Consider the following 27,916-nt stretch of genomic DNA (forward strand, 5'->3'; position numbering starts at 1 on the left):
ATTGAGGTTTGAAAAACACTGCTGTAAAACCTTAAATGCCAGGCTAAGATGTTAAGCCTTTATTCTGTGGTCCATGTGTGTTATAGATCTGGTTTCTAGAAAGTAAATCTAATAGCAGCACCAACCAACAGATTGGAAAGTGGAAAGCAGAAAGCAGGGGGCTAGATAATAGATGCTTTCCACAATACTCTATGATAAAGTTTTTACTGGCCATCTTCCCCAGGTGAAACTGGCAACCAGTCCTGGTTTCATGGCTGAGCTCTGCTAATCTGAAGAGATGGGGTGGATAGTTAATGGGGGCTTAGAGCATCATCATATCAGCCATTAACTGGAGGGGAGGCAGTTTTTCCTTGATACTGCAATTACTTGCCCCATGCCTGGAATGTTTAAACTAGATATTATCTTGTATTTTATCACTGCTATTTTAGAAAAAAAAAAGAACAAGAAGAAGAAGAAATTCTGCAAACTTCCATCTCCATTAATATAAGAACTAGTTTGTTAGGCTAGGCACGATGGTTCATACCTGTAATCCCAGCACTTTGGGAGGCCGAGGCGGGAGGATTACTTGAGCCCAGGAGTTTGAGACCAGCCTGGGCAACATGGTGAAACCCTGTCTCTACAAAAAAATTTAAAAATTAGCCAGGTGTGGTGGTGCATGCCTGTAGTCCCAGCTACTCGAGAGGCTGAGGCAGGAGGATCATTTGAGCTCAGGAGGTTGAGGCTGCAGTGAGTCATGTTCACAACACCGCACTCTAGCCTGGGTGATACAGAGAGATCTTGTCTCAAAAAAAAAAAAAAAGAATTAATTTATTAGATGTTTGATGTAAATTTCAATGGCCTAATGAACTAGTAGCACTTAAAACTAGTAAGTTTTACTAATAGTGACAATTCAAAATATATTAACTTTCATTTCTTAGCAGAATACCTGTTCTTCTAAAATTAAAGAGTATTTATTATCTTCAAGAAAATCTCCCTTCTTGACCAACATTGCATCCTAATGTATACCTGTGATTCTTTCTTTATTGTTGGTGTAGCCAGCAGAGTGATGTCTTAGAAGTATCCATAACCCCATATTTTATAGCAGAAATATATCGGAAGGAGCCCCACAGCAGTTCAGCCAATGGACACACCTATCCACTCTTCCTACCTGACTATGGACAAGTGGGAGAATTAGAGCTTAGTTACTAAACCAAGTTCTAAATATACCATCACCACCACTCTCTCTCTCGTTCTCTCTCTCTCTCTCTCTCACACACACACACACACACACATCTTTCTTCAGAAATTTCTCCATTGGTGTCATCTGTGAACAAGGCTAGCCCCATAGCAGATGCAGAAGAAATGAGGACATACATACTAAATTAGGAAAAAAGACAAAAATATAATTTCACTTTATTATTAAAGCAAATACAAATGTGTATAGAAAACCACCTTGTAACTTGATTTGAACATTAAGTCCCTTGTTACATAACAATGTATTGGAAGCATGTAGGGAGCATGGCCTGTTGACAGGGTTCAGGAATGTCACTACAGATTGTATCACTTGAGAAAGATTTGGGAACAGTCTAGGCACTCCCTCTCCGAAAGAGCTATGGAAGCTAGACAAAGCTCTCTAATGCTAGTAGCATGCCAGGTTTTCTAAGAGATGTATTTTCACTTTTTTTGTTTTCCTAGTGGGATTATTACTAGTAGGATCTACTAGGATTACTACTACATCATAGAAAAACAAAAACAAAATCAAACCCTGTACTATTTTTCTCAAAATCAAATAGTTTCTAAGTTTAACTAGCAGGTTAGAACTTTGGCATTTACCTGGCATATCCCTTACTACTTATAATACCATGTTTTCTCCTAGTTTGATTTTTTTTTTTTTTTTTTTGAGATGGAGTCTTGCTCTGTTGCCCGGCTAGAGTGCAGCGGCGTGATCTCAGCTCACTGCAACCTCCGCCTCCCAGGTTCAAGCGATTCTCCTGCCTCTGCCTCCCAAGTAGCTGAGATTACAGGCATGCACCACCATGCCTGGCTACTTTTTGAACTTTTATTAGAGACAGAGTTTTACCACATTGGCCAGGCTGGTCTCGAACTCCTGACCTCAGTCTCCCAAAGTGCTGGCATTTGGTGCCCAGCTTCTAGTTTGAACTTTTAGTAAAACTCACCATACAGATTAGTTTAAACATATTCAATATTTTACTAAGTCAGCTCACTTCCAGTGAATCAAGGGTCTAACAATGACTACTGAGGTTTAAATTGGGACATAAGAATAGTACTTTTTCCAATTAACTTTCTAAGTAGAACAAAGCCATTAGCCACTCTGCTCCTGTCCTTATCTCCCTTGTCTTGGTGACCAGGGGAAATGCCAAACATCCTCTGGTCCTGACAAAGACAGAGTGGGAGAAAGGTGATGAGCTACGGATGGACTGGCAAGTCCATGCCAGCTGTAAAAAGGGAAATTTTAAAGCCACAGCAGTCTTTTTGAGAACCCATTGATGCTAGGCACCACAAGAAGGAAACCTGCATTGGCAGATTTTGTTATTTTTTTAACTTGACCCTGACAATACCTGCTGGGTTACCTGCACTTTCTGCCAAAGACGTGTCAAATGAGGGAGGAAGTTTGCACACCTGGTGAATTAAACCTTACAATACCATTTGGAGAGATGAAAGAGAGAGACAGGCAACTACAGAAAAGAACAGAGCCAAGAAATAGAAACTAGGAGGGAGGAGGAAGAGTAAAGAGACAAACAATTTGAAGGAATTCTTCTATGATATTTTCCAAGATCACATTACACCACAGGGACAGTAATAATTAAGTATTATAGTAGCCCCAGAGTGGGACAATTCACTACTCTGGGTTTGAGTTTTTGTACCTGGAACTCAAAAGCAAACTGCATCAGCCACTATGTCTATCTTAGATTTTGATGACCTGTTTGGCTGGGCTGCTTCTCTATGGCGTTTCCAAATGCATATAATTAAACATTAAGTGGTCTCTTAATGGACTGTCTTTTCCAAAAGGGCCTTTGTTTAATTTACAATCACCATGTCCGTAGAAAACACTAAGTAATTGCTTTTGCCCATTCCAGTGACATTTTGGCCATTCCTTTAACAGCCCTGTTTTTCTTTCTTTCTTTCTTTCTTTCTTTTTTAATCAGGAGTCATTTGAGGCAATTGGAGAGGGTGAAGGAGTGGGTAGTTTCAAAGACATTTAGCCAAAGCCAAGCTTGTTAGCAGCAACTGTCACACAACAGGGCCAGGACACATGACACCATATGGAGCTTCAGCAGCCACAGACACCAAGACCCACATGTGTTCTCAGTGCGGAGCACCTTGTGTGCACCAACCTCCTTCCACACATCTGGGACACCCAGAGAGAAACAGAGACTTGGGTAAGGAGTAGCACACACTGTGCTTCCTTCTCTCCATTAGAAGCTGAATTCTATTCAAATGTATCTTGAAAAATAAGTGTTATTATTCATTAGAGTGCTGACCAACATGAAGCTTCTGGTATTATTTCCATTTCCATACACCTTTAAACCCACTGCTGTTTCCTTTGGACTCAGAAGTTTCTGGCTCCTGTAATCACCACCCATCATTATGTTCTCCCTTAACAACAGATGTGAATTCCAGGGAAGCTGAAACCTTGCGTGTTCTAGACATTGAATGGTGTGTGGTACAGAGAAGACCCTCAAATATTTGCTGAATGAATAGATACATCTTTATCATGGCCTAATTTTCCTAAATTCCAAAGAAAGTTTAAGTGGAAACTTAATTTTGAGTATGTCTGACACCTGAGAACCCTTTCCTGTAGCCATTCTAACATACACTTTAATGTCTCTAAGGCCAGAAAAACATGATTTTTTAACTCATGTAATTGTGAGTAATGCAGTTAGTGTCTGCTGTTTGCAGAAATTTACAGAAGACACGAGAAGTTAGCATGTGTTTGGTTATTCTTTTCAATCTCCTGAGGAGGTCAAAGCTGAAGTATATCTTCAAGGTAAATGCTGACTCTTAAGTAACTACATTTCCCATGTAACAAGTGCAAATCCACATGAACCTACAGAAATCCCTTTGGCAATAACATCATTAATGACACAGCTGTCAAGAGAATTTTAAAAATAAGTTTTTAAGAAGCATACTGTTAGATAAAATGTAGATAGAAACTCACACCTAACAGGTCATTTAATAGTAAGCCCAAACCTCTGTTAATGCTGGACAGTTCCCCATGGCTTACTTCCAAGAGTTCTTCCTTCCCTAGTTTTGAATGTTCTAAACTGAAGTTTCTGTCACTTGGCCTTGAGGGACTCTTCTGTAGCTTGTGAGAGGTCATCACTGAGAGATTTCTTGTTTTCATCTCTTTACTCCAAATTAGCCCCTTGGATGACCCTGGACAATTCTTCTGCCTGCCTGGTGGGTGGTGCCTTTTTAGACACTTGTAGGTGGTTATCAGGTCCTTGCTCCATTGCAAACATCACAAAAAAGATCTTGCCTCCTGCTTGTGCCCTGGGACACGTTTTGATTTTGCAATCTCAAACAAATTGCTTGTTTGCACGGACCTGTGTGCTGAAGAACTGCTGAAGCTGGCAACTAAAGAAAGCTTTGCTTTTGGCAAATGTGGTCCATTTTGCCTATTCAGAATTTCTTGAGATATTAGCCCCTCTAGCCACTTACTCATTTTCTCTGTAATTCCTTAGAGAGCTGAATTGCCATCTTCAGTAAATTCATTTGAACAAATTCACTACCCTGTTCTCTTCTCCTTCTGCCATTATCCATACTAGTTGATTTGCATAAAGTCTTTTTTATTCCCAATTATTTTCTTACTTCATTTATAAACCAAGAGCCCATTTACAAGTCTTCATTACTTTATTACTAAACTGCTTTACACCACTTTTCTTATTAAATGCCAATATTTAGGGAGGAAAGTATGAAATGTGTTGGCAGCTCTGTTTGAGCCACATTTAAAAGGAAATTAAGACCATGTTTCACAGTGTTTTTATAGATGAGAAGGGTAATAAACATTGCCCACAGGCTGAATTAACCTACGTTCTTTGGTAATAAACATGCCAGTATCATTCTCAATTAAAGAACAGGTTGTTGTTCAGAGTGCTTGAACTAGAGCTACTTGCAGTGATGGAGAAATACTTTAAATCTTAGATGGAGAGGACTAAAGTGTGATCTAAAGACAGTGGGGTGGTTTGTTTGTTACAACTTGACCCCCTTGTAAAATTTGTCTTTGTTCTTACTTTGTTCTTACTTCCTTTTTTCCTAATATATTTGCAGATTTCTAAATTCTTATGGTTTCTTTGACTGTTCAAAAAAAGATACAGAATAGATGTGACAAAGACAAATACAATACAAAATGAATTTAGCCATGCAGTTATGCTACATATGTAGCTTGATATGTGGTATATAATATTATATCATCTCTCTTCTTGAATTCTTCCTACCATATCAGTGTTCCTGTCCTTTTAGTAAAATGAAAGAGTCAGCATTAGTTCATCAAGATTTCTGCTCTGACTCAGTGTAGCTGGCTAGAAACTGACTACAGTGAGAATGACAATAACAAAGGTATCTCTAGCAGGCAACATGAATTGAGCACTTACAACCTGCCAGACACTTAATCCTCACAACAATCTGGAAACTAGAAAGTGTTATTTTTCCTATGTTGTAGACAAAGATCCTCAGGCTCAGAGTGCTTAAATAATCTTCATGTGGACACATCTACCATGTTGTAAAGAACCTTGGATTTAAAACCAGACAATCCAACACTAGAGGCTGAATGCTTAAACACTGTCCTTAACTGCTCCCCTGGTGAAACTAGAGGCCAATATTTTAAATAATTTTTTTAAAGTACCAATTTACATCTTTTTTTTTTTTTGAGACAGGGTCTTGCTGTGTCACCTAGGCTAGAGTGCAGTGGCACGATCTGGGCTCACTGCAGCCTTGACTGCCTGGGCTTAAGTGATCTTCCCACCTCAGCCTCCTGAGTAGGTGGGACCACAGGCGTGCATCACCATGCCCAGCTAATTTTTAAAATGATCTGTAGAGACAAGGTCTTGTTATGTTGCTCAGACCAGTCTTGAACTCCTGGGCTCAAGCAATCCACCTACCTTGGCTTCTAAAAGTGCCAGGATTACAGATGTAAGCCACTGGGCCCAGCCCTAATTTACATGTTTTAAAGCACCTGGAAATCTTATCTTCTTATTAAATACTGTTGTATGAGGGTTTCTATAATGTTGAGAGCCTAGAGATATAGACCAAAACAACATTCAATTTGTATATGAGGTTGGGATAAAATAAACCAAGGCTCAGGAAAAGCTCAAGATATTCAGGAAAGATAAGCAGGATGAGCCCAGATTGCACTTCTATAAGGGAAGGTACAGACTTCTATTGGCACCATACCTACTAAGTTATCAATGAAACACACAGGTGTAAAGGTTCCAGAACTAAAATGAAAACTGGCCTCTGGAAAGTGGTAAATTTGCCAATTTGGACATATCTTGGAAAGGCTAAGTAAATCACCTTGTCCAGTGCCCTGCTTATTAGTTAAGATATATGCAAATCATTTCAGTATGGGGGATCAATCATATCACCATCATCACTATCATCATCATCATCATCATATCACCATCATCACCATCATCATCATCATATCACCATCATCATCATCATCATCATCATCCTCATGAAGACATGGCAGCACTAGGCCAAAAGAACAGAGGCCTAGTCTCCTCTCCTTCTAGGCTCCGGGCTCTAGCCAGACCACCTCTCATGGAGCAGATACTAAGGAAAGACAGTTCTGAAATTGTAATCCCTTCCAAATACTCTAACCATGGTAGTTTACCTCTTATCTAACCAGGCAAATGCTGTGACTCTCTTTATGCTGTTTGAAGCTTATATCAGCAAGACACTGGAGCCAAAGCCAGTCTTAAGCAGTGACAATACTTCAATGTTTATTCCATGCCCTATTTCCTCACAATCACTTAGACAATCATACAGCGTTACAAAATGCACCACGTTATCAGTCAATCAGTGACTTTTTATCATAAGGAGTGTTCCTTTACCAATTGTATACAGTGCACCCATACTGTGGCTACTCTGTTTTCCCATTAGTAATTATAGCTTGTGTTTATTGAGTGTATTATTTTTGGGAGAAGATACCAAACAATGGGGTAGGGTTTGCAAATACCAGTTAATTAAAAAGGTAGGGCAGCAAACAAAGAATCTAGGAATGAAGTTATTGAACAACATAGTGGGATGTCTTTGTGACATCGTTTGCTGAAGGCTAAAATTCTATATATGACAACTTGGTCTTTGATCCTATCCAAAAGAATGTTTTGCCCATTTTTTTTTTTTACTTTTAACATCAATAACCAACTTCCAACACATGAATCTTAAAAAATGTATTGTTAAATTGACACCTCTTCAATTTTTATCTGTCAATCCTCTCTAGAGCAATCTAGCAAAATCAAATCTAATCATTTAAACTATGATATTGGGGTAGCAAGGGCAGAATAATTCCACCAGGCAGTAAAAGCACATTTCTATAACTTCAGGCTAGAGCTAAATGCCCTGGGATATGAGGCTAAAATTGTTCACTCTACGTATTTGAAAAGTGCAAATAGTATCAGTTCCCCTGCAGGCCACTTAGCCTCCTTTCCCTGCAGGCACCAAAACACAGGACAGTTTTTGTTCACTAGTACTCCCCTTTCCTTAATTCTCCACTGTTCTCCCCACTTTCCCCTGCCCCTTCTTGCCCTGAACTGATGCTAAATGAGCATATGATCTGTACTGACCCTGCCGGTTGCAAAAATAAAGCTGTTTTCAAAACAATAAAACCAATTCTAGATAGGACTTTGCATTTTATTTTTTAAGATGTATTTTCCCTGTACTGTTTGGCAAAAACATCTACTTCCACAGGCTTTTTCTAGTCATAGTCACAGTGATCTCCTTCACAGTTTATTGGGCAGGGAACACACACAGTTACCTTTCTAACCCTTCTAATTTGTGTTGGATTCTAAGCTCCCACATCTTGGCCCTCGGGCATTTTCCTTGATAAAGCCCTCCTACCTTACAGTCCAAGGAAGACCAAAGACTTTGGATATGAAATTTTTAAAGTAACCACTGAAGAAGAGGCTTCAATTGTATTGGCCCAACTGGCAATCTATGGAAGGCCACATGAATTGCTTAGAGATAATACTCTCGCCTTTCACCTTGCAGTCACCAGTTTGAATCAAGCAGAGATTAACAGTGTCCAAGGGTTGTTATCATCTGGTGATGCCTTGGGAGCTGATATGAAATAAATTACTAGTATCTTGCATCTACTTACCGGAGGTCACCCAGTTCAGACTATTTTGGGGACCAGATCCAAATCTTAGCTACAATGGTTACTCTAAATGGAAGCCTCTGCACAAGGATCAAATGCTAAATAAACGCATAGATTATGCTACCTCTTGCACTAATGGAAGATATCCTCCCAGACAAGGGTGGAAGCCAGGGAGTGATGGGTGGGAGCAATGGGCAAAATGTGTGTATTCTGAACAACAGGCTTCTGAATATTTAGTTAAAATTCTACCCTGTCTCTCTTAAAGGTGATTTTACCATCTGATCTTGATTTCCTCACCTGATGGTACAGCCATGCTCTCCTTCTGACTCAGAGCTCTCACCTCTTTTACCTATTGTTTCATCCACGTTTTTTTTTTTTTTTTTTTTTTTTTTAAATGCGGTCTTGTTCTGTTGCCCAGGCTGGAGTGCAGTCATGTGATCTTGGCTCACTGCAACCTCCACTTCCTGCGTTCAAGAGATTCTCCTGCCTCAGCTTCCTGAGTAGGTGGGATTACAGGCACGCACCACCACACCCAGCTAATTTTTGTATTTTTAGTAAAGATGGGATTTCCCCATGTTGACCAGGCTGGTCTCAAACTCCTGGACTCAAATGCTGCCTGCCTCGACCTCCCGAAGTGCTGGGATTACAGGTGTAAGCCACCGCGCCCAGCCAATAAATTTTCTTAAGCTTTTAATTAGAGCCAGGTAATTGCTTTTGTTGTTATTTTGGCTAAAGAGGGTTTTTAGTCTGAATCATTAAAATACTTGTTTAAATTTTCTACATTGCATTTCATGTGTAGATACTGTTCAAAATCATTCTTGTTTAGTTCTTTTACTAATTTTAAATTTGTCATACATAAACAGCTTCTTTAAAAATAATTCAAATTAGGTCTCATTGGGTAAAATTTAGAAATAAAAGTCTCTGGGGATTAATTTATTTAAATGAAATCAAAGTCTCAAAAAGTATAGGGTAGATTTACATTTTATGGGGCTGCCATCTTTCACAGTTTTTGTTTTTTTGTCTTGTTTTGTTTTTGAGACAAGGTCTCTGTTGCTCAAGCTGGAGTGCAGTGGCACCATCTTGGCTCACTGCAGCCTCCAACTCCTGGGCTCAAGCCATCCTCCAGCCTCAGCCTCTTGAGTAGGTGGGACTACAGGTGCTGCGTCACCACACGAAGCCAGTTTTTTATAGAGACCAGTTTTGCCATGTTGCTCAGGCTGGTCTCCAACTCCTGGGCTCAAGCCATCCTCCCGCCTCAGCCTCTCAAAGTGCTGGGATCACAGGCGTGAGCCCCCACGCCTGGCTCTTTTCCAGTTGTCACCAAGAACTACAAAGTTGCTATCTCCAAGTTCACCCAACATAAGTATCATAAAGACAATGGCTCTTAATTCTGGGTTGTTACCAGTCTCTTTGTGAATTTGATGAAAACTGTGGATCTTCTGCCTGGGAAGACTACACTGCAGAAATAGAGAAAACAATTTTTTTCCATACAATTGAAAGAATTCACCCATCCTATAGAACCTATTCATGGACAACTATCTTCAAAGGACGCCTGAACCACAGGTTAAGAATCTCTGAAAAAATATCAACTCAAGGATCTTGTGTTAAAAATGTGTACATAATCCACATTCTTATCAATACATATGAAGGAAAAAAGGAGACAAAACAAGGTGCCTGCCCAAAATGGGCAGGAATCAAGCGTAGTGGTTTAATCAGCTAAAATCATCGGTGAAAATGAAGATGGTGAATGCATGTTTCTCCCAAGTTTTCCACTTCTCCCCACCTTAAAATCAGAGGGCAGGAGTGAACGGACTGTTTTAAGACTAAATGAAAGCTATGTTTTTGGTTAAAGGTAATTAACAAATAGACTGAGAGCTTGTTAGCTTTCTAAAGCTTCAAGTGGTCAAATTAGACTAGAATTAAAAATAGAACCAATTTAATCAGCAAGAAGAGCAGTTGAAAGATGCATTTCAATTAGACTTGCATCAATTTAAATGTAAAAATAATGTGATTCCTCTATCCAAAATTGCCCAATTTCATCTTAGACTTCAATTTAAATACCTATTTGTTACATATATTTTATATCTATATATGTTTCTTTTTTATTTCTGCCCATATATCTGCCTCTCAAAAAAATTCCCTAGCATTAAGCAATAGCAATAAGGTTGGTTGGAAATCTCGAACCAAATGTAACTCAAAGGTCATGAAACTAACTCGGATTAGTGGCCATGAAGGACTTGCGGGGGTGGGGTGGGGTGTGAAGTGAGCTTTATGTGTGCAACCGTAGTGTTCAAAAGCTCTAACTCAAAATTCATTTTAGGCCAATTCGTTAAACCAGCCGTCTAAACGGGCCCTGGCACTGGGTATCCGACCGCTCCACGCGCCAGCTGGTGAGGCCTGGAGTTGGAACCGGAAGCCGTCTCCAGCCGGCCTCCTAGGCCCTAGGTGCCCGGGTGGGCACACTTCCGCGAGGGCCCGGGGACAGCGCCGGCCAAGTCTTGCGGGCAACTGCACACTCGGTTCCGGGAGGCAGGTACTCCAGGTCGGGAGCCCTGAGGCCAAGCCTGTCTCAGTTCCCACGTCAAGAGGAAGCCTGGGCTTCGGAGCCCACCCTGCCTGGGGCCGCGGTCCCGGAGCGCGGCGGGAAGAACGCCCACGTCACCTCCCGGTGTTGTTACACCCACAATCACCACACTCTGACCCCCGCAAAGACCACAGAGGAGTAGGAAGAGGGCTGCCCTCGTACTCCCCAAGCCACCCCCGCCTCTGAGCGCGGAGGCACGATGTTCTGGGGCTCGAGCCTTCGCATCCACCGGGCCAGCGCTAACCACCGGCCGCCGCCCTGGAGGGGACCCGGCGGCCCCGCCACGTGCGGCTGCGAGTTTCAGACCCGCTTCCGGGGGGCGGCGGCCGTCGGAGGCCTGGGTTGGGGGGTCGTGAGCCGGATGTTCCCCGCAGCTGGCCAGAAAGCTGCCTCTGAGCCTCTTGAGCAACTCCCTGCCTCCTCCGGTAGTCTCTCTGGACTCTCCAAGTGACTTGCTGGGGGCACCGGGCGCGGGGAGGGCAGGCCCCCGGGGTGACGCAGGTGTGTACTTTACAGCCAGAGAAGGCCTAGCTTTCAGGGACATTGGCTTAGTTTGTTGGGTGAGACGTGGGGGTGGAGAATGGGAGCACTGTCTCTTTGCCAAATTTTCCAGAGAAACCCCGGGACTAGCTCTGTCCCTGGTGCCCCGGCTACTGCCAGCGGGTCCTTAGCGCTGTCGATTGCGCGCACCGGAGCCCGAAGTCTTCCCCACCGCTGGCAGGAGAGCCCCGCGAGCTCTCCCGGACGTGTCGGGTCCTAAAGGGGAGAGCTGAGCAGCCACTTCAGGGATTGCACTCCGAGGTGGCCGAGGCAGGGAGGAGCGCTGGCCCCGCGAAGGAGGCCTCAACCTTAGGACAACCCGGGCGTCCCGGGCGAAGGTCTCGATCTGCCGGAGCCACTGCCTTTCAGGCATCGCTCCATTAAAGCCAGGGAGGAGAGGGTCATTGGCCAGCGACCCGCCCTCCTTACGTCCGGAGGTCACCCCACGCCTACAGGCAGGTTTTTCTGTCTCCTTTGCAGAACACTATGCGTTTGTTACAACGATTAAATGAAGAACACAGAAGTCTCTGGCTCTGCCGGGCAGAACGCCTCTTAAGAGTATCGCAGCTAAAAAGTGGGTTGGCTGTAAGCTGATAATCAGGTAGCTGTGGTCAGACACCCACTCCAGAACCTCTGCTACTCAGAGACCATGTTATCACACGCGACGTCCATTAGGCCCCAGTAATCCGCTATCAACGCATTTTAGAGCCATTTGAATGTTAAGGAGATTTTTATTAATGGTCCATGATCCTAAAATGTGACTATTGGTTCTAGGAACAGATTTTAACAACTCAAGGCTGTGATGAGTGATTTTCTGATTTCTGTGCAGCCTAAGGCCTCAGGAGATTTCATCTGGGAGATTGGGGGCAAGACCTAAGCCCTCACCCCACCAAGGACCTGTCTCTAAAGGGTACTTTCCAGCTTTTACCTGGGGAAACTGAGATAGAGGGGGAGCAGGCCTGTGGCTCCTAAAGGCAGCATTTGAAGGTCCTTTAATGGGGAGACCAGGGGGACAAAAAAAGCAATCAACAATTGTATGGCTACTAGAAACTGGCATCTTATTTTTAAAGAAGCCCTCAGCTGGAAATGTCACCTAGTGATGTCAAGTAGACTAAGAAATTCTTAATCAAAAGGCCCCCTTTGCACACCTGCAGTAGGCAAACTGAGGCAGGAGCAGTAGAGGTAGCAGGTAGCAGAGGATTCTGATTCTTGAATACCTTTTTTTCCTTGTGGTGCTGAAACAGAAGTCAATCCAAACTTTGCCCACTTACCATTATATTTTCAGTGGGATTCTTTTTTGTTTTCTTTGTTGTTGCTGTTGTTTTTTCTTTCAAAATACCGTGTTTCCACTAAGAATTAAAAGAAAAGGGGTGGGGAGATTAAGGAATAAAAGTGAGTCATAGACCTCATGCTGTTTGACTTTCCCTCTAGGAGAAAAACAAAATTTGAAGCGACCCTCCCCCTAGTGATAGCCTGGCTTCCCTGGCACCTGCAGTTATCTTTGACCAAATGGGTTGGACTTGGTAGGGATCCTTTATTTGAATTTGCTTACTGTTTGTTTGCAGTTGACAGCAGGTTGGTTTTTAAACATAAAACACACTGCTTGCAAGAGAGGAAGTCTGGCTGTTTCTCTTTAGCATTGGGGGGCCTCCCTTGGTTGTAAGGACTGCTGCTTAGTAGAAGGCCTTTCAAACGCACGTCTGCTCCCTCCTTTACAGCCACTTCAGTATACAGAAACTTCCTCTAGTTTCTCATTTGGTTCCGTTTCCTTCCATCTGCTGCCATCAGAAAAACTACCTTTTCCAAATAGTGCCTAGATTTTGTTTCCATCAGGTAAAAAACAACCCCCCCCCCAACACATTATCATTGAAGGTCTCATGATACTATTAACAGGCAGTTTGAAAGAGATGGTCCAAGCAATCCTATACAACGTGTCTCAATACACCAGAGCACTACAGTTTCACATGTAATGTTAATTCTGTCCAAGACAAATCCTATAATCTGTGCAGTTTCAGAGCCTAATACCAAAAAACATGGGGATGGGTTTTGTTTGGGGTTTTGCTCTCCCCATTCCAGGGGAAAGTCCCAGGGGCTCCCAGTCTTTTCTGTCACACCAACCCAAGGGCGGAAACGGGGCGACTAGGGGAATCAGGTTTTATCAGAGCACCCTGCGCTGACAGGCTCGGGCGGTTTAGAAGAGAAAATCAGAGGTGCTCAGGGCACCTGGTCACAAACCTGGGCATGCAGATGCCTGATGGGGGCTTGGACCCTTTCGTGGCACGAAAAGGAGAGAGACTGCTGTTCATCTTAAAAGTCTCGAAGGAGGCAAAAACCCAGGCGGAAGTCATGGCTGACTCTGATCCTGCATCTTCTCATTCTGGTTGTTTTCCACCGCGTCTGCTCCCATTTGCGTGGGATGCGCTGGTCTCCTGCCCGACTCTTTTGTGTTCCTCTTTTGCATGATTAAAAACACGTTTCTATATGCACTAAACCATCACCTAGCACTGGCACGCCTGGTTTTGGGTTACAGCTTTGTCCGTATAATAACAGCGAAGTTCTCCCTGGGTGTGAGATGCGGGTTCGAACATGTGGTGTGCGCGCCAGGGCTGGCCGCTTCCGGTTAAGTGGACGCGGGGACTTGACTGCGTCCCCTGCCTTGCAGGTAACTGGAATGGGTTGCCTGGCAAGTTGGCCCTGCCCGGGACGCCGAAGGGACCGCTTCCCCATTCCAGAGCCTGCCTCTGGCCTTCAGGGCCGCTGACAGGTCCGAAAAGAAAGAGAAGGCACTCAGTTTTAAAAAAAAGAGATCTAGAGGACTGGGGAAAAGGGGATGAGCCAAGGCAAACTGGGAATTGCTCGGGCTTCCCCCGAAAGCCTCAGCTCAGTGCCGGGGGAGACCCCAACGGAGGGCCAGACTCCCCCAAATCCAGTGGCCGAAGACCTGGATTTCCTGGGAGGATCCCCGGGGGCCCGAGGCAGGCCCAGCTGGGCCCCGTCTGCTCGGGACGCGGGAGGCCTCAGCCGTGGCGGGAGCCCCCGCTGTGGCGGCCTCGCCCTTCGAGGCCAGGAGAAGCGGCCCCCTCCTAAGCCGTCAGCGGCTCATCCTACCGGGAGACCTGGAAAACCAGCAGCCGCGGGCCCTGCTGGGCTTGCTTTCGCCGCCCCGGCCCCTTCTCCCCGGCCAGTGGACCCCGCTCGCCGTCCCGTCTGTCAGTCTCGGTTTTAGCTCCTTCGGGCGCAGGGCGCTCGCCTCCCGGCCGGGCCACCCCACCCTCCAATCCCCGAGGCCGACCCGACCCCTGCACTCCGCCAGGCCGCGAGGTTTCCCAGCGACCGGCGCCCCGGCCCGCGGCCGACCTGGAGGCCTGACTGCAGGGCTCGGGCGGGGCCCTCTCTCGGCTCTGGCTGGCGGCCCACTCCCGCGGGCGTACAGGCCTCGCCACCGGGCCTCGGCCTTGCCGCGGCCCACAGCGCCCTGGGACCGGCGCCCCCGAGGCCTGAGAACTACGCCCGGGGGGCGCGGGCTGAGGCTCAAGAGAGGTCCTAGGTGCGGGCCAGGGATGGAGCCAGCCCAGAGAGAAAGGGGAAAACCCGGCAAGGCAAGAGCCTCAGTCTCGCCCCTGCCTGGCCCGCCAGGCTGTGAGTGGGGCCCATTGGGCAGCGCCAACCTGGGGAGTCCGGCGTCTGCCCCAGCTGGGGGCCCTCGGGGCAGAGATGTGAGTGCTGTTCCCAGGTAACTCCGACTGGGCACTGGGGAGTTAGAAAAGCCAGCTCTTTAGCCAGAGCGCCTAGGGCGCGGCGGAGAGCGGGCCGCCCGGCACCACGTTCCTTCTGGCAGTTCCGCCCCAGCCTCCCAGCGTCTTGCGCCTGTGGCGGCGGCAGTACGGGCCTGGGGGGTCACCCACAGGAAAGGTGAGATTAGCAGCACCATGTGGGAGAGGGGTTGAGGAAACCCACCATTATCTAAAACTTGGAGGTTTCCAAAGCCGGAACTTAATTGAGTTGATTGAATTTCTCTTCTTATCTAGGAAGGAAAGAAACACTCCCAAGGTGAAATACAAAGGGCCAAGAATCCCTGTGGGAAAGATAAAGATTTGGGGCAACAGATCTTTGTAAAGCAAACTACCCCCACCCTCATCAGGACCTGACCTCCAAACCGAAGCTTATACTGCCGGCTCACTTCTTGTTAATTGCCGATACGCAGCTGAAGTAGCTCCCTGACCTCTTTGGAGGACGGCGTCATTTCAGTACCAAGTATCACCATTATTGGGCTTATTAACTTCATTAAAACCGGTCTTGACTAGGAGTGGAGATCGGAACTCTCTGGATGTCTTTAAGCCAGTGTTCGCTCCCCGCCTCCTTCCCTCCCTCCGTTGCCTTCGGTCAGAGGAATTCATTTCTACTTCGCCTTTGATTCAAAGGGATTTAACTGCGTGGTCTTAGTTAAGAGAAGTTGTGCAGAGGTGATGGAAAAATTAGTTTCAGAGGGTGCTCAGTGCCTCTTCTTTCTGACCTTTTTTTTAAAGTTTCAGGAGAGAAACTGCCAACTGCGTTATTTGCTGAGTAGCCCAATGTTTATCGTCATTATTGTTTTTAAAGAAGGGGTAATCTTTCCCTGCCCCTTGCGGGACATCCTGAAAACTGAAGGCAATGGTAGAAAATGGTTATTTTGATTCTGCATTACTGTTGCAGAAGAAAAGCTGGGAGATTAAGACACTGAATCTGGGTAAACCTCAGGCCCCAATTTAACTTCGTGTAAACTACAGTATGTTGAAGGTTATCAATAGGTGCTGAAAACTCTTGCCATCAAATTTGGCCTCAAATTTTGGTTGCAAACTATTGCATTTCCTTTACCAGCGAACCAATTTACTTATTAGGAAAAATTACAGAGTTCAAGAGAGCATGCGCAGCCAGGGACCGGAAAAATGAAATAGCCAGAAAACAAAATGGTTGCAACTGCTAACCTTCATTTAAAACGTTACAATCAAGAGTCACTTAATTTTGGTCAGCTGTAAGAGCTTAAGCAGCTTAAAATGAAATTAAATATTGCTTTTACCTGAGGAGCACCATGATCATTGGCCCATTTGTCTTTTCTGGTGACTGGTTTACAAAATGCAGGTACAACTGAAAAGGGACCCATTTTTTCCCCCTCGGCACTTTCTTAAACACATACACACAAACTGACCAGGGTGCCTTATGTTCAACTACTGAAATTATAGGTTTTAAAACTTTTCTGAAACTCTTTTGTTCAGGAATCATTTCTGCCTGAATTACTTTCAGATTCTGATTACACTCCCTCTCATGTTTACCTCAGTTTTTGGAAGTTAAAAAAAAAAAATCCCCTTAATCAAATAAGAGAATAGTAACAAGAAATTCTTGTCATTCTCATGTTTTCAGAGATACTCCAATTCTCCTCCTCCCTCTTAAAAACTTGATATATTTTAAAACATTCTAATAAAGTGCCTAAGAAATCGTTCAGGTTTGAAGTAGGGAGGGAAAAGCAAGGAAAACAAGATCTTGTTGTTAGGCTCTCCAAACTCAATTTCAGAGCAATCCTGATGAAAGTCACAAAAAGTCTACCTACCACTGTCATTCATATCTATTTTATGCATAGATTAGCAAAAAAAAAAAGTAAAAATAAGTTTGCTAATTTACTCTCTGTCCTAAGAAAAACGTGTTTTGGGGAGGAAAGGCTGAATGTAGGCTTCTTATTCATAAATAGCGGTGTAAAATTAAACTGGACCCAATGTTGTGCTAGAACCATTTTAATATAATTATACATATCTGCCAAATCCAGGAAGAAAAGGTTTATGCATATATAACTTTTCCATTTAACATCTGCAAGCATAAACGACAATGATCTCAGTTTAATAATTCATCAGGGTCAGAGCAATTGACCAATGTCTCTTTACTGCTAGGCTTACCAACAGTAAATTACAGATGAATTAGTGTCCTTTTGCTTCTCTTCTCTGACTCTCTTTGTCCAGAGACATTTTGTCGTAAAGTTTCAGTGCAGCTCACCTCCAGCCAAAGGTAATCTTTTTAGATCAGTACTCAGTTGCTCTGAATTTTGCTTATAATTATAACCTATTTAATCACAGAAGAACCCCTGCAGAGGTGGAGTTCAAGGTTGCATACAATAACAGGAGATCACAGTTTTGAAGTCTAGCACAGATTAAAAACCACAGATGTACCATTTATAAGACACACACTGATTGTCTCTTAAACTACATATTGACTCCTTATGAACATTATTTTTTAAATAAAGTAGTGCATCTAGGACAATCAGTCACACAATTCACACAGCCCTGAAAAGTTTTTTCAGTGCCAACTACCAGTTGGTCATGAAACGTGAATGAGCTTGAGACACTGTTCATTCCTAAGATTCAACCAAGGATTGGCTAAAACAATGGAACACCTCTGCTTAAGAAGGCTATGACCTTCCCTCCCTTCCTTCACAACTTAGTTTTGTTTGATTTTATTTTTGGTGGTGTTTGGTTGCACATGGCTAGAATGCTTTTGATCACTTTGCAAATCAGGATAACCAATGATCTAAAACTATGACAGGATCTTAAGCAGATTGGTTTGTCCATTTCATGTTGCTGGTTTGTAGGCCCCTCTAAGGCCCTTCGTTTTTCCTTCTATGCCTCTCGGAACTTTGATCAGATGAGTCTGAGCATCATCCCATCTAACTCTTTTAACCAATGCCTGGCTAAAACTGGAATGTCCAGCCCAGTATATTTAAAAATCACCCACAAAAAGAGGTTCTACAGGTCTTCACAAAACCTGGAATTTCCACGAGGATGTCTGATCTTTATAATCCAAGCAGTCAGCATTGAAGTTAAGCTTCCAGGAGGCAGTTTGGTCCTTATAATCCAAGCAATCAGTGGTTGAGTTAAAACCCAAGCTTGAAGCTCCATATCCCTGGGTGGAAAGAGAAGCTGGGGACTGATTGAGATGGCTGGTGACTGCATTGGTACCCATGGGACTGAGTGTGGCCCCTGGTCCGGGAAGCTGGTGATGCATAGGGGTCAAATATGATCCACAGTCCATGCCCCCAAAGTAGGAAGTTGAGCCAGCATATCCTTGACTATAACCTGAAGCCTGAGTATAGGTCATGGGATAGGACCTCTGCATGCAGGAAGAGGAGGTGGACAAGGGATCTGACAGTGGGGAGATGGAAGCTGGGCTCCAGATAGACACAGGAGCACTGCTGCTGGCAATGGTCGGGACTGAGGTGCTAGAGGGGGGAGTGAATTGGCCACTTGTTCCACTCTCTGAACTCACTTCCCGAGCTGGAGATGTCTTCTTTTTGGCAGGTCTCACTTTGTTTTGACCTCCATTCTGCTGTTGTTGCTGTTGTTGGCGGCACTTAGCTCTTCGATTCTTAAACCATACCTTGGAAGGGAAAGAAAATTCTTTAACTCGGTTTTGATAGTTCCTTAAGGACAAGAATGGCTCCCGTATTATAAATCTATCCTACATGGGCAGATCAGCTAAACACACAATTTCCCCTGCCACTGAAGACCTATTATGTGGTACTCTCATATAAACTCCTGGACTTGTAAGAAAGTTGGGGAGGCTCTGTCTAAAAACACTTGACACTGTCTTATTTCTTGCCCAGAATAACATTTAAGATAATCCCCCAAATCATATAGCTAAAAACTCTCCACATCACTTTCCTATCTTATTTCGCCTCTAACACACACATACACATAGACCCAGCTATATTTTGGAACACTCTCACAGAGGAATAGAATGTATCTCTGTCTTTTGGAGGGAAATACATGAGAAGTGAGAGAAAGCAATTCTGTTGTTACAGGCTAACAGGAACAGCCTAAATTCATTTACAGTTCATCTTCCAGGAAGCAACTGCTAATATAGAGGTTGGTTGGTTCCATCACCCTTCTGTCTCTCTTAGAAAGACTCACAGAACAAAGCTCCAAGGGGAAGACATGATCTTGTTGAAGAAAGAGGTCTGAAAGCCACTATTTGCTAAAAGCTTCTTTGTGGTAAAAGGAGTGACTTACATGCACTCTGCTTTGAGCTGGAGCACAGACCTGCTAGTCTCTGGGACTCGAGTCTGTGTTGTTAGAGTAGTGCCACTCAGCACATAGACTCAGTCTCCTGTGCTGTGTTTACTGACTTACCACTTCAACCCCCTGCTGCAATCTTGACAATTCTCTTTACCAGCCCTGTTCATGTTCTGCAATGAAGGAGCTATGATTGGTGTACGAGGGGGCTTAGAAGAGGAACTACTGGCATTTTCTGGAGGACAAATCCTTAGCTGAACTTTTGAATGAGCTCTCTGTATGGGTGCCGTAACTGTGGTAAAAGTGAGGCCACCAAGGCCAAGCTCAAGACCACCAACCATTTGGAGCCATTTGTTTTCTCCTAGTGAGGACTTTGGTTCAAGCCTTGCAAGTGCTAAAACTTCCTCTAACCTACTTTGAAAAAGCCCCTTTCCCAATTTGCAGCTGACACTGATGTCTGTCGCTTTCATAAACATATTCTAGCCGAAGGAGAGGCCCAGGTGTGTATGTGGTTTATGTGCTAAACACTTTGCAGAGAATTCTGTACAGGGCTCACTCACAAGGCAAGCTGGAGTTGACCTTCCCTCTCCAGTTTAAGGTCAAGTTTAGGGGAACTAAAACAAGAGGGGTGTCACTAGAGACATTATGTAGATATTTTATCTGTTAAATGGCTCAGAACTAGAAAATTCTCTTCAATCCCTAAGAAGTCAAGGAAAATACATTCTTTTTGTGTTGATTTATTTGGTAAAAGCACCAGCTGCGTCTATACCCTGACTCTGCCACCAAACTTAGTTATGACCTTGAGCAAGTCATTTACTCTATTTTTTCATCTGTAAAAATACTTGGACTGTCCAAGAGCTAAGCTGCTTTCACACGTACAAGTCCATGAGAATAGGAGAGGATTTCTATACAGAGGAAGGGAAGGGTTACAACACCACGTGACTACTCTTGAAACCTGCTCAAGGATGGGTCTCTCTCCACCAGCAACCCGGGCCTTGAAGACCCTTGCTTACGGGATTAAGTGGTGACGGGCAGGCAAAAAAGGGCAGAAGGAGAATAGTTTCCTGGCCCCTTAGTGAGTGAAGGAGAATTTCAAGCCTTCCTTCAGTCCTCTGAAAGACCTGGGGCTCTCCACAGTCCCATACTCGGGAAGGGTGGCATGATCAGGAAGGATGGTTCTGCCTGCATCTGCCCTACCTGCACCCTCGACTCGGGCAAGTTGATTTTCAGTGCCACCTCCTCTCGCATGAAGATGTCTGGGTACCGGGTCTTGGCAAACAGTGCTTCCAGCACATCTAGCTGCGCCCGAGTGAACGTCGTCCTCTCCCGGCGCTGTTTCCGGGGGGTGGCTGCGGGACAAGAAGCCCAGGGCCCTTTAGGGTGGGGGAGCAGTTTCTCAGTCATAGGCGTTTCCGCGGGTTCTCCGACGCCCCTGCCCTCCACCCCGCAGCAGTCCCCCGTTCCTCACAGCCCTTCAGCCGGGAGCCTACCAATGCTCTCCCCACCGTCTCCCCAGCCTTGCTCCCCGGGGACCCAGGACACACGCTGCTTCTTTCCCTACTCTTCTTGGTGTTGAGATTGCTCCAATCAGAGCATCACTTGGAAAGTTAACAAATGAAACATTTTTTAAAAGACACACAAAAAAGTTCTCCAAGATCAACCCCCAAACCACAACACAAAAAGGCTATTCCAAGAAGTCAAAGGATCTCCGAGGACAGACTGGCAGCTCGAATTGATGGGGGAAATCTGGATCCTGTTCCCATGGTTTTTAGCACACCATGGGCCTTTGTTCCTCCATCTTTAAAATGGGGACATAGTTCATACTCCTGGGAGGATTTTTAAACATATCTGATTGGAAAGGAAAGCACCCGCATTTGGAGGAAGTCACGCCTCTTGGGATTAAAGCAGGCTCTGGAGGTCATAGGGGAAGGCCTGGGCATGGAGGGAACAACTGCGAAGCCCGAGAGTGCTAAGGACTTACGGAGGGAAAACTCAGCTTCTCCAAGAGGACACTTCTGAGGAATTGGTCATTGAGATATGGGTAGGGGTCTTTTGCCCAAATGACAAGGACAGTAACCTTCCTCATCCCACTCTGATGCCAATCCTTATTTACTCGAATTAAGAATAAAGTGATGTGATTGTAACGGTTGCAGACCCACCTACTCACTTTTCCCAACCCCTGTTCTCTGCTTGGTCAGTAAATGCCCTGGGACTGCTTCCTCAGAAGGCAAACCTAGAGGAGACCAAGCCTGAAGCTGGGTGGGGACAGTGTGACTGCCAACCCCCGTGTTCCATGGGAACAGGGTGTTGCATCCCCGGAGGGTGGGCATGGGGAAGAGGGGTGCGGGAGTGCAGCAGGGCTCACTTACCCGGGTAGCCCACGGAGGGGTGCAGCAAGTCCATACCCGAAGTGGTCAGACTCAGCCCATTGACTGCGTAAGGCGGTTGCTTAAGATAAGACATCATGCTAAGGTTGTTTGGAGGTGCAAAGTCGGCCCAAATCGGGGGTACCCAGCTGGAAGATCTTGATGCGCCCGGGGTGGACAGGTTCAGAGTCCTTGGTGGGTGGGTTTGGAGCAGTGGAACTAAGGGCAAAGCAAACAAACAAACAGAGGGGCTGGTTTACTGCTTCGGAGGCAGCAGCTCTTCCACGTTCCAGCACTAACTTAAAAAGAGCACGGACTAGGCGAGGCAGAGGCTTTTAAAGGACTTGCAGACACTCCCCCCACCCCCATCCCCACCCCCACCCCCAGCTGCTCTGGAACTAGAGGGGATGGAAGGAGACCAGATAAACCTGTCTTCCCCACCCCCACCCTAAACTTAAAAAAAAAAAAAAAGTACCCGAAGAAAGCAATTACAATCTGCCTTCCCCAAGAACAAAAACCCGTGCCTTCAAATGCACACATTGCATTCCTATCCCTACATTTGCATAGGACTCATTGGCTGGCACTAGCTAATTGTCTCAAACAAAACTTGATTGGGGCCATTTGCAGAGACAAAGAACTCTTTGGCTAAATAAATAATGCTGATAACAAAGCCCATTGGTGAGAAACAAAGAAACAATTCAAGAAATCTACCTCTCCCCAGACTGTTGCCTTTCCATGGCAGAGATTTTAATTATCTTAGCTTTTTACCACTTTCAACTGCTGCGAACCTAAAATGTCAGTGCGTTTAACATCTAAAATACCAACTCACTAAACCACAAACTTGGAAAAACCGCTCAACCACTATTATTCCACATTTGAAGTCATTTCCGGTAATCATTTTCACCTAATTAGTAGTCTGGGTAATTAGATTTCGAGGTAAGTAACAGATTTATTAGGGTTTTGGAGAATCTTGATTATATGTGTCTAAGGAACGAAAGCTAAACAAACAAGTATTTAACTTTTAATAGACACCCATCAAATATTTAAGCATATTCCAAAAAAGTCTTCAAGATTGGCACAGGGCTTGCCAGAAATTGTGAAGTAAAGTTAGAATCCCACCAATCAGATAATGACGGGACCCCACATTTGTAGTGCAAGCTGCTTCCATGTTGATTTTGATGTGTGGAGGCTGCAGATCCTGCGGGAGGCAAATTTTCAGACATTTGGGTCCTCGGCAGCTGCAGCAGAGTTTCCTGTTAACTCTAACTGCCTTTTGCACATTTTAGTTTTGAAGAAAGTAGATACACAAACACCCAAAGTTGTGAAACTAGTAGAATTTCTCCCTACCTTTCAAGTTTCCTACAATCCTATAAGAAAAAGAGCTCAAGGGGGAAAAGAAAGGAAGAAAAAGAAAAGTTATTTACTTTCTTCAGCTGAGCTCCCCGCCTCCACCCCAGCAAAGAGATTCAAAGTAGATGTTAATATAGACTGGCAGTTTGCAAGTCTGGCCTTTATTTTCCTAAAATGTGGCACTTATATGCAAGGATCTCTACTTTGAAACTTTGACACCATGAGAGATTGCTTCAAAATGGCGGATACAAGATAAAGGTCTCACTGACTTTAAAGGACTCCGGGTTTTCATATTTACGTTGCTTAAGACAGCAAGGCACAAAAGTCCATAAATGAAACTTAGTAACTGCAACTTCTTTCTGATTTAAATTCAGAGCACAAAAGTCATGCTTTTCTACCCTAAGATCTAACTTAATATAATTTTATAAATGTCTTTCTTGGAGGAGTTTGTATTATCCTCAGTACAACTAATTTAGTTGCCCCTACAATACAGACTTTATGTTTTTGTATTGTCTTTTCTTTTCAAAATGCTGTTCTTTGGAGGCTGCGAAAATAAACAAAAATCTCCAGCTTAGAGGCTGTTTAAACACATATGCGACAGCTTTAAAATACAGTTGTATATGTGTTTAAACAGCCTCTAAACTGGAGATTGGAGATTTTTTGTTTAATCGTACTACCTTGCAAAATTCTGAACTACAGTGCTATAGAGAATCGTAAAATCATATCAGATGTACCCTTGAGAAATATGGAAATGTTCTTACATGTAGAGCTCTCACCCAATTAGAAATGCCTGACACATCATACAATAAAGTAGCACATTCCAACATAAAAAGCCAGTAACACACAGAAAGCACCAGGGCCGAGATCCTTCCAGGGGCTCCTTTGCCCTTACCATTGCAAAATGGCTAAAATTCTCAAAATAGACTATTTTCACTTTTGCTCCTGGATCCACCTTTAAAAGGAAAAGAGGAAAACCAAAACCCAAAACTAAGAGATTCTCTCCACAACCGGCCTAGGTATGCACTCTGCATAGAAGGCATGGGCCCTTCAATCTAACTTTCAAAGCTCTTTTCCTCTCGAAGCAGGGTCCAGAACGGGGAAAAGAAATAACTTTTGAAAAATCCACGCCTCACTATGACTGCTCACGAGGTGGCCTCTGGAGAACTCATACCTAGAAGCTGACCGCGGTCGCGCGGCGAGTTCCGGCAGCCGGTCGGCGACCGCACCTCCGGGCGCGAGTGCCTGGGTCCCGCGTTCCTGCCCGGCAGCCCCGCAGCCCCGCAGCCCCGCAGCCCCGCAGCCCCGCAGGCCTGGCGCCCGAGGTCCCGCTCCACTGCCCGCGCCCCCCGCGCAGCCTTATATCTAACGGTCAATTCGTGCAATCTGTCGCTTCTCCCTCCCCCACGCCTTGTTTTTTTTTTCTTCCAAGAAGCCCATCTACCAGTTGCTGTGTCCTCGCTCAACAATAATTACCTCGTCCGAGAATTAATTATAATAAATGTTTTCTTGATAAACTAACGAGATAATCCGAGGGGCACACGTCCCTTAATTACAGGCCGCCATGCTCCTCTCTGCTTCTCGTCCGGGCTGATTAATTTTCTGCATGATGGAAAGGAAACAAAACTACGCGGACTGGCGACTGGCCTGCGGCTGGGAAGACGACGAAGAGGAGGAAAGAAAGAAAAAGGAGACGTGTGGGCACCGCGGAAAACGGCCGGCGCTGGCCTCTCTCCGGCGAACTCGAGTGAAAGTTTCTGGCCTCGGGGAATCAAATAACTCTGCCACCCGCGAGGGAGGGAGGAAGAAACGTGCCAAAAGGGTTGGCCTTGACTATTAATTATCGTTGGGAGAAAGCCCCGGTGTTAGCGCTGAGGTCTGGGTGTCTACCTTACTCTGGGGGGAGGAGTTCCCTCTCCTACTCCCCTCTGTTGCTAATAACTTTTGGTGCCTGTAAAAAGTCCCGAGCTGAGCAGGAGAAATCCTGACCCCGAAGCTCTAGGATGGAGGGGAGAATTTCTAGGAGCGACTTCCCCGTCCCCTCCCCAAGCAATCCACCACCGCAGGGTCGGCGCCGCTCGGCCTTCGCTCCCCGCGCACCAGTTCTATCTGTGAAGGAAGCAAAAGCCAACTCGGTGGAATCCTGACAGGGGACTTGGGTTTCCAAAAATATGTCCCGAAATCGGGCATCGATTTCAAGAGTCACTTGAACGCAACAACGCGAAGACTTCTTGGGAGTTTGCAGAGCGACCCGTCGCCCGCGCCCGGCGCTGGCAGGGACCTTCGGATGGTTCTTACTGGGCCGATCCATGGCACAGGCTGGGCCTCGGCGAACCCCTCGGCCCCCGCCCGGCCCCGAGCCACGACACCTCATTGTCCTGGAGCCTGGGAAGGGGGTGCGCGAGCGCGCGGGCGAGCCCTGCCTCTCCCCGCCAGAGAACAGCTGAGGGGCCGCGGTCCCAGCGGGAGGATTCCGGTCCCTGGCCCGGCCGCGGCCTTGGGCGGAGCAGGGGCCACTAGCTGCCACTTCTGCCCGCCCCAGGTGCGCGCGGAGGGCTACGTGGGGCGGGCCGCGACCCGGCAAAGTCATGTTGAAAAAACACTCTTCACGTTCGCTCGGCCTGGTGACCAGGGTCGGGGACCACGACAACCGGGGGTTGGGAGGCTGCGTAATTACAACCCAGGGTGGTTTGGATTTTGGGGGGTGGTGGATATTTAAAAACAAAAAGGAGATCTGGAAGCTTTTGGGAGAAACAGACAACCGAGCTGTGCTAGGCTGAGGGAGAGGAGGCCAAAGAGAGCGAGCAGTGAGCGCCGGGGCGGACGAGAAGCCAGCGCTCCCAGCCTCCTCGGTTATCCGCTCCGGTTTCCGCTCACGTTCAACAGGGGCCGACAGGGGCTCGAGCGGCGGCCCCCGGCCCAGGCCGACCCGCAAGCGAACCGAGCTTCCGGCGCGCGGGCCCAAGGAGGCGCCTGGCTTTTTATTATTGTTGTTTCAATCCATCCATCTAGTTACATCTGCATCTTTTTGTCTCGGACTCTAAAAAGGTCCCTGGGATCCATCCAAACGACCCCAACCAAATCTGGGGGCCAAAACGCAAAGATCGCGGGAGAAGCCCAGAACGGCGTTGACATAAAAACAAAACCACAAACAAAACCTTCCAAAACACCCCAGATTACATTCGCAGCGTTTCGACGACGTTTTGCAGAAGCGACGACCCCCAGGAGCACGCTCTCTGCCTCTCTCCCACTACCGCTCTCATCTCTAGATCACATTTTTCTTTTTGCAACGATCGTTATTACACCTCAAAATTTGTAAGAGAAAAAATACATCCGCCTACAGAACTCCACGTTCGCAGAGGGGCATCGGTCGGTCTATTGGAGGTACTGGGGTGATGGCCGACAGACACGGGGACACGTAGATATGGATATAGACAAGACAGACGGACACTTACCTTACAGCCTCATGGGAGGTTAGAAAAAGTCAAATATCCTTTAAATTCCAAATAGCCAGCTATCCTAAAAGAAATCAAGAGTATTGAGTTAGAAACCTTGCAGTCTTCACCCTTCCATGAAAAGTCAAACACAACCAAAAAAAATTTTTTTTAAAGAACGAAAATGAGGAAGGCGGCTAGAGTTCTAAACACGCGTGGGCCCCTCTGCAATACATACAAAGTAGATGTGGCGAGTGAGGGCTGCTCTAGCAATTTTTATTTTTAATCACAGTGGAGGCTGTGTTGGAGCTGAGGCCGGTCCCGCTCTCAGGGAGATTTGCTGAGAAAGCGCCTCTCTGGCAACTTTTTGACGCAAACTCTCCAACCAATGGCAGGGAGAGAATGATTGACACATCTAAGCCAGAGGGAAAATAATAAAAACACACAACAGGGGGAGGAAAACAGGCCGCTGCTGCACGGGGGGACGAGCAGGCAACAAATCCAGGCCTCCGACATTACCAGAATGTTCTTTAAAGACACTGGGCTTTGCTTAAAATATACATTATGGGCCGGAGCATGTGAACTAATTGTATAATTAAAATGATGGACAGGGAGTTCTTCTCTTACCCTCTTTTCCCCTGCTTCCTTTACTCCGAAATTTCCTTTCCTCTCTTTTTTTTTTTTTTTTTTTTGTTGTTGTTGTTTTTAGGGAAGGGAAGAAAGGAAACCCATGCAATGTAAGATGGAAGATAAAAATATTTAAGTAAATGCTGGAGAATGGCGGGTTAGGGAGTGACTGGGTTATCACATTCAACCCCAGCAATAAGTGTGTGGATGACAGGCAGAAAGCAAGTCAGACTGAAACTCAAAAACACCACTATGCCGTCTCAGACAGGGCCAGAGCACGCTGACGGCCAGAAAGGGTAAAGGAGGGAGGCCTGGGAGTGCGATGTGGGCATGTAGGGAAAACAGAGAGAGAAAGATACACAAGTCCAAGAACAAACTATTTTCTAAAACTCAGTGTCTTCTCTATTCCCTACGCCCTTATAAATATCCTTACACATATAAATAAATGATCCCCGAGTGAGAGACCCCGGCTTCTGGTAGGTTCCTGGGGTTTTTTGGAATTGAGAAGCCCACGACAGACTGCAGGGAACACGAACCCCGGAATCTAATCTCAGGGCCCATTTAGGAGAAGTAGCTGGGACCACATCGGGCCTCGAGGATGCGAGTGTGAGGTCGACAAGATATCGTGGAAGAGAGCGAACGAGGGAGGCCCCCGTTGGAAACAGTTT

The 27,916-nt window shown here is 45.7% G+C and overlaps 1 protein-coding gene and 1 long non-coding RNA gene across 8 annotated transcripts, besides 4 other annotated features; one reads left to right on the plus strand and one right to left on the minus strand.

Moving 5' to 3' along the window:
- Positions 10,374–11,298: an enhancer, noted in NCBI's record as "H3K27ac-H3K4me1 hESC enhancer chr14:57260608-57261532 (GRCh37/hg19 assembly coordinates)". NCBI's record gives its function as "activates a minimal SCP1, AML or CMV promoter by ChIP-STARR-seq in naive H9 embryonic stem cells {active_cell/tissue: H9 hESC(naive)}" and the evidence as "EXISTENCE:reporter gene assay evidence [ECO:0000049][PMID:30033119]".
- On the plus strand, positions 11,201–11,964 carry LOC124903322 (uncharacterized). The gene is made up of 2 exons (XR_007064190.1): positions 11,201–11,402; positions 11,515–11,964. It is a non-coding gene; the product is annotated as an uncharacterized LOC124903322 (long non-coding RNA).
- Positions 13,528–14,122: an enhancer, noted in NCBI's record as "H3K4me1 hESC enhancer chr14:57263762-57264356 (GRCh37/hg19 assembly coordinates)". NCBI's record gives its function as "activates a minimal SCP1, AML or CMV promoter by ChIP-STARR-seq in naive H9 embryonic stem cells {active_cell/tissue: H9 hESC(naive)}" and the evidence as "EXISTENCE:reporter gene assay evidence [ECO:0000049][PMID:30033119]".
- Positions 16,389–26,963, minus strand: OTX2 (orthodenticle homeobox 2). 7 transcript variants are annotated; one of them, NM_001270523.2, is made up of 5 exons: positions 26,860–26,963; positions 26,643–26,706; positions 21,844–22,059; positions 20,672–20,823; positions 16,389–18,839 (listed from the first exon to the last, which is right to left on the minus strand). In NM_001270523.2, exons 3-5 carry the CDS (start codon positions 21,938–21,940, stop codon positions 18,219–18,221), a joined length of 870 nt encoding a protein of 289 aa, NP_001257452.1. In that variant the 5' UTR covers positions 21,941–22,059; positions 26,643–26,706; positions 26,860–26,963; the 3' UTR covers positions 16,389–18,218. The 7 variants fall into 7 exon arrangements, 5 of the variants coding, with proteins under 5 accessions (NP_001257452.1, NP_068374.1, NP_001257453.1 ...); NM_021728.4 differs by having other exon boundaries at positions 20,672–20,847; NR_073034.2 differs by lacking the exon at positions 20,672–20,823.
- Positions 20,288–21,126: an enhancer, noted in NCBI's record as "H3K4me1 hESC enhancer chr14:57270522-57271360 (GRCh37/hg19 assembly coordinates)". NCBI's record gives its function as "activates a minimal SCP1, AML or CMV promoter by ChIP-STARR-seq in primed H9 embryonic stem cells {active_cell/tissue: H9 hESC(primed)}" and the evidence as "EXISTENCE:reporter gene assay evidence [ECO:0000049][PMID:30033119]".
- Positions 21,966–22,804: an enhancer, noted in NCBI's record as "OCT4-NANOG-H3K27ac-H3K4me1 hESC enhancer chr14:57272200-57273038 (GRCh37/hg19 assembly coordinates)". NCBI's record gives its function as "activates a minimal SCP1, AML or CMV promoter by ChIP-STARR-seq in naive and primed H9 embryonic stem cells {active_cell/tissue: H9 hESC(naive and primed)}" and the evidence as "EXISTENCE:reporter gene assay evidence [ECO:0000049][PMID:30033119]".

The sequence above is a fragment of the Homo sapiens genome, chromosome 14 (assembly GCF_000001405.40).
Source record: "Homo sapiens chromosome 14, GRCh38.p14 Primary Assembly".
NCBI classification, from domain to species: Eukaryota; Metazoa; Chordata; class Mammalia; order Primates; family Hominidae; genus Homo; species Homo sapiens.

Excerpts from the sequence above, each read along its gene's own strand:
- OTX2 (NM_021728.4), bottom strand. The coding sequence starts at position 21,940 with ATGATGTCTTATCTTAAGCAACCGCCTTACGCAGTCAATGGGCTGAGT. Across the intron at positions 20,848-21,843 it reads CCCCTCCGTGGGCTACCCGG|GGCCCTGGGCTTCTTGTCCC; the intron begins GTAAGTGAGCCC and ends CCCACCCTAAAG. Across the intron at positions 18,840-20,671 it reads TGCCCGAGTCGAGGGTGCAG|GTATGGTTTAAGAATCGAAG; the intron begins GTAGGGCAGATG and ends TTCCCTTCCAAG.